Below are 5,972 nucleotides of genomic sequence, written 5' to 3' on the forward strand. Positions count from 1 at the left end.
GGTTGGGGGAGGGGGGAGGGATAGCATTAGGAGATATACCTAATGCTAAATGACGAGTTAATGGGTGCAGCACACCAGCATGGCAGATGTATACATATGTAACTAACCTGCATATTGTGCACATGAACCCTAAAACTTAAAGTATAATAATAATAAAATTAAAAAAAAAGAAATTCTGGGTTGAAAATTCTTTTCTTTAAGAATGTTGAATATTGGCCCCCACTCTCTTCTGGCTAGTAGAGTTTCTGCCGAGAAATCCGCTGTTAGTCTGATGGGCTTCCCTTTGTGGGTAACCTGACCTTTGTCTCTATTTGCCCTTAACATTTTTTCCTTCATTTCAACTTTGGTGTATCTGACAATTATGTGTCTTGGAGTTGCTATTCTTGAGGAGTATCTTTGTGGCATTCTCTGTATTTCCTGAATGTGAATGTTGGCCTGCCTTGCTAGATTGGGGAAGTTCTCCTGGATAATATCCTGCAGAGTGTTTTCCAACTTGGTTCCATTCTCCCCGTCACTTTCAGGTACACCAATCAGACGTAGATTTGGTGTTTTCATATAGTCCCATATTTCTTGGAGGCTTTGTTCGTTTCTTTTTATTCTTTTTTCTCTAAACTTCCCTTCTCTCTTCATTTCATTCATTTCATCTTCCATCACTGATACCCTTTTTTCCAGTTGATCGCATCAGCTCCTGAGGCTTCTGCATTCTTCACGTAGTTCTCGAGCCTTGGCTTTCAGTTCCATCAGCTCCTTTCAGGACTTCTCTGCATTGATTATTCTAGTTATCCATTCATCTAATTTTTTTTCAAAGTTTTTATCTTCTTTGCCATTGCTTTGAATTTCCTCCTGTAGCTCGGAGTAGTTTGATCGTCTGAAGCCTTCTTCTCTCAGCTTGTCAAAGTCATTTTCTGTCCAGCTTTGTTCCATTGCTGGTGAGGAGCTGCATTCCTTTGGAGGAGGAGAGGCACTCTGCTTTTTAGAGTTTCCAGTTTTTCTGCTCTGTTTTTTCCCCATCTTTGTGGCTTTATCTGCTTTTGGTCTTTGATGATGGTGACGTACAGAAGGGTTTTTGGTGTGGACGTCCTCTCTGTTTGTTAGTTTTCCTTCTAACAGACAGGACCCTCAGCTGCAGGTCTGTTGCAGTTTGCTAGAGGTCCACTCCAGATGCTGTTTGCCTGGTATCAGCAGCGGTGGCTGCAGAACAGCGGTGGCTGTAAAACAGCAGTGGCTGTAGAACAGCGGATCTTGGTCAACTGCAAATGCTGCTGCCTGATTGTTCCTCTGGAAGTTTTGTCTCAGAGGAGTACCCAGCCATGTGAGGTGTCAGTCTGCCCCTACTGTGGGGTGCCTCCCAGTTAGACTGCTCAGGGGTCAAGGACCTGCTAGAGGAGGCAGTCTGCCCATTCTCAGATCTCCAGCTGCATGCTGGGAGAACCACTACTCTCTTCAAAGCTGTCAGACAGGGACATTTAAGTCTGCAGAGGTTACTGCTGTCTTTTTGTTTGTCTGTGCCCTGCCCCCAGAGGTGGAGCCTACAGAGGCAGGCAGGCCTCCTTGAGCTGTGGTGGGCTCCACCCAGTTTGAGCTTCCTGGCTGCTTTGTTTGCCTAATCAAGCCTGGGCAATGGCAGGCGCCCCTCCCTCAGCCTCGCTGCCGCCTTGCAGTTTGATCTCAGACTGCTGTGCTAGCAATCAGCGAGACTCTGTGGGCGTGGGACCCTCCGAGCCAGGTGCGGGATATAATCTCCTGGTGTGCCATTTTTTAAGCCCATTGGAAAAGCACAGTATTAGGGTGGGAGTGACCCAATTTTCCAGGTGCCGTCTGTCACCCCTTTCTTTGACTAGGAAAGGGAACTCCCTGACCCCTTGCACTTCCCGAGTGAGGCAATGCTTCACCCTGCTTTGGCTCGTGCACGGTGCGCTGCACCCACTGTCCTGCACCCACTGTCTGGCACTCCTTAGTGACATGAACCCGGTACCTTAGATGGAAATGCAGAAATCACCCATCTTCTGCGTCTTTCATGCTGGGAGCTGTAGGCGGGAGCTGTTCCTATTAAGCCATCTTGGCTCCACCCAAATTTCTTTTTTTTTAACTGTATAATTATTTTATTTTTAATGTCCAGAATGTGTAATATAAGGGCCAGATCTTCCTCCTGGACTCAATTTTATAAATCCTTGATTGGTTGGTGAGGTCATTAGGGATACTTTTTCTTGTCTAATTTGGTTTCTGGGAAAGTTTTTTTCAAGTCCTCAATGGTCATCTGATCAAATGGAATTAAGTTCTTCATCTTCTCCTTCTGTTTCTCATATTCTACAATCCCGGCCTTTGAGAGAGACACCCACTCAGCACAAGATTTCACATCTTCTTTGTCTTCAGCATCCAGCTGGGCAGTATATTTATCCTCTGGCACAGAAACTTCAGGGCATTAAGCTTCTTCTCAAAGTCATCCACCAAGCCTGCCTTGGCTACATGGGCCTTGTAGTAAGCCTAGTCAATAGCTGGTGGATTCTCAGGTAAAGTAGCCAACCTGGAGGTGAGGGTCTCATTCCAGGATTTCAGGGAATTAGCAATGGCCTTTTAGTTCTGGGGTATGATCTCCACAAAAGCTACACAGTCAGTGGTTTTTAGAGCAAGTTTTCGCCCAACCATCTTGGGATCCTTCACCAACCCTGGCTGCCCACGGTCCACAGCCTAAATTTCTTTAAAAATACTTCTAAAATTAAAGTAATGCTGTTTGTTTTGCTATAATAGTAATAAAGAGAAACCCAAAATTAAAAGAAATTTAATCTTCAGGCCCATGCAGAAAATTATAAAGAGCTAGTCTAAGAATCACCAATAGACTTTTCAAAAAAGTTAGTATGCAAATTTTAGAGTTAGAAAAAAAATTAAATAAACCGAAACACCCTTGTAAAGTTTAGAATGCATAGATCATGAAGTATGAACTTGGATGCTGATAAACTTCACAGGCCTTCATTTTACTTATTGCTTGACTTGTTACTGTCTTCTAAGCAAACCTAAAACAGAGAAAGTGATTCTATGACACTGAAGTGGTTAAGTTCCAGCCAGATCCAAAGCTATAAGCAAGCAAGTTTTGTTTTCATGTCCTCTCCTTCTCCTCCTTTCCCCTTTCCCCTTTCCCCTTTCCTATTCTCACTCCCGTGCCTTTCCCTGGAGTTTTTAGGGGCAGCCTTAAATCTATATTTACCCACTATATTCAGTATGTTTGATTATGCACAGCCTGAATTCAGATCCAAGACGATGATCCAGATTTTTGTTCATCAAAAGAACTTTATTTCTTTTCTGTAGATTTATAGCAGAGCCTAAGCACTGACTTATTTTTCTGCTACTCAATAGGCTCATCGTGCCTGGGGCCCTTGCTCTTACTTCTGTCTTCTGGAAGGCTCTTCTTGTGCATCTGCCCATGCTGGCTCCTTTTTTGACATTTAGGCCTCTACTCAGGTGCCACCTCTTGGGACAGATCTCCTCCACCAATCCTCCAATCCTTCAGTCCTGGCCTTGACACTTCCTAGTTTATCATTCCTTTTTCACTTTCCTATAATTCCTTTATGTAATCATCTTTAAATAGGTTTTTATGTAATTAGAAAAATTTACATACAGTAAAATTCACTCTTTTTAATGTATAGTTCTTTCAGTTTTGACAAAGTATATAGCTATGTGTTGCCACCACTACAATCACAGTTTGGAAAAGTTCCATTGCTCACCCCTAAAATTTTCCCATACCTCTTTAGAGCCAACCCTTCTCAGAACCCCAGCTCTGTTCTGTTTTTGTTTGCTTTTGAAACAAGCTCTTGCTCTGTCACTCAGGCTGCAGTGCAGTGGCACAATCTTAGCTCATTGCAACCTCCACCTCCCAGGCTCAAGTGATCCTCCAGCCTCAGCACCCTGAGTAGTTGGGACTACAGTTGCACACCACCATGCCCAGCTAATTTTTATATTTTTTGTAGAGATGGGTTTTTGCCATGTAGCTCTGATCTATTTTCTTATCCATAATGTTGCCTTTTCCACAGTGGCATATAAATAGAATCTAATAGTATGTAGCCTTTTGAATCTGGCTTCTTTCACTGAATATAATGTAGTGTTATTGTTACACATATCAGTACTCCATTCCTTATTATTATTATTATTCCATTGTATGAATGAACGATAGTTTGTTTGTTTATTCTCTATTTAAGAGACATTTTAGTTGTTTCCAGGTTTGGTGATTACAAATAAAGCTGCGATAAACATTCAAATATAGTTTTCACTGTTAATGCAAGTTTTCATTTCGCTAAGGTAAATATCAAGGAGTGAGATTGCCAGGTCACATGGTAAGTGAATGCTTAACTATATCAGAAGCTGTGAAACGGTTTTCCTAAGTGATAGTGCCATTTTGTATTCCCACCAGCAATAAATGAGAATTCCAGTAGTTCTACATATTTGTCAGCACTTAGCATTGTCGGATTCTTACATTTTAGTCACCTAATAGTTGTGTAGTGGTATCTCACCATGGTTTTAATTTAAATTTCCCTGACTAATGATGCCAAACATCTTTTCATGTGCTTATTTGCTATTATATGGAACTCTTTTTTTTTTTTGGTAAAGTAGTTGTTCAAATCTTTTGCCTTTATCATTATTTTTTAAATTGAGTTTTCTTATTACTGGGCTTTTAGACAGAATTATATCACAAGTTCTTTTAATATTCTAGATTGTTTTTTTCAGGTTTGTGATTTCCAAATAGTTTCACCCAGCGTGTGACTTGTCTTTTCATTTTCTTAGTGTGTCTTTCCAAGCTTATGAGTTCTTAAAGTATTATTTATCATTTTTCTCTTTTGAGTTTTTGAGATCATATGTAAGAAATCTTTGTCTAACTCGAGGCCACAAAGATTTTCTTTGATTTTTTTCCTAGAAATTTTATGCTTTCAGGTTTTTTTATATTTTAATCTATGATTTCTTTTAATTTTTGTAGATACTATGAGATATGGATTAAAGTTTATTTTTTAAAATCGCACACTGATATCCAATGATTCCAGCATTTTTGAAAGACTAACTCTTCTCCATTGAATTATCTGCAACTGCCAAAAACCGATTGACCATGTATGTTAGGGTCTGTTTTTGATCTAATCCATCCTATTGACCTACACATCTACCCTTTCATGAGTACTGCACAGCCTCAATTACTGTAGTTTTATAGTAAGTAATGCAATCAGGTAGCTATTACTCTTCATCCTTTTTAGAAAACTTACCATCATCTGAAATTATCCTATGTGCTTAGCTTCTTTTTTTTTTTTTTTTTAATTCCTTTTTGAGATAGGGACTTGCTTTGCCATCCAGGCTGGAGTGCAGTGGTATGATCAGGGCTCACTGCAGCCTCAATCTCCCAGGCTCAAGTGATTTTCCTACCTCAGCCTCCTGAGTAGCTGGGACTACAAGTATGCACCACCAGGCCTGGCAGGGTTTTTTTTGTTTGTTTTTTGTTTTGGTAGAGATGGGGTTGGGATGTTGCCCAGGCTGGTCTCAAACTCCTGAAATCAAGTGATTCTCCCACCTTGGCATCCCAAAATGCTGGGATTACAGGCATCAGCCACCTTGCCCAGCCTACTTTTTAAAAAAACTTCTGTTGGGAGACATCAAACCATGAGACTCTCTAGAACCATGGGACCAGGGAGTTTGTACCTATCTCATTCTCTGTTCTACTCCAGCACCAAGAACAGTACCTGACACACCATAATTGTTTAATAAATTGGTTGAAAGAAAGAAGGGAAGTTAAGAAATACTTAAGTTGAGGAAATTAAGGGAACTTAATATTTTGGAAAAGGAAGGATCAAATTGTTTTGTGAGAGCTATTAATATAATAATAGAGGTTTGCTGTGGTGCTAGCCTGGAAGATTAAATGCTCTTTTGGCCATGATATTTTGATCATAAGCTTACTTCTTTTAGGACCCATGAGGAGCTCTTTGGGGACACATTCATTCACT

General features: G+C 40.7%; 1 pseudogene; it reads right to left on the minus strand.

Moving 5' to 3' along the window:
- ATP5PDP2 (ATP synthase peripheral stalk subunit d pseudogene 2) lies at positions 2,091–2,688 on the minus strand (annotated as a pseudogene).

Source organism: Homo sapiens, chromosome 9 (assembly GCF_000001405.40).
Source record: "Homo sapiens chromosome 9, GRCh38.p14 Primary Assembly".
In the NCBI taxonomy this organism is placed as follows: Eukaryota; Metazoa; Chordata; class Mammalia; order Primates; family Hominidae; genus Homo; species Homo sapiens.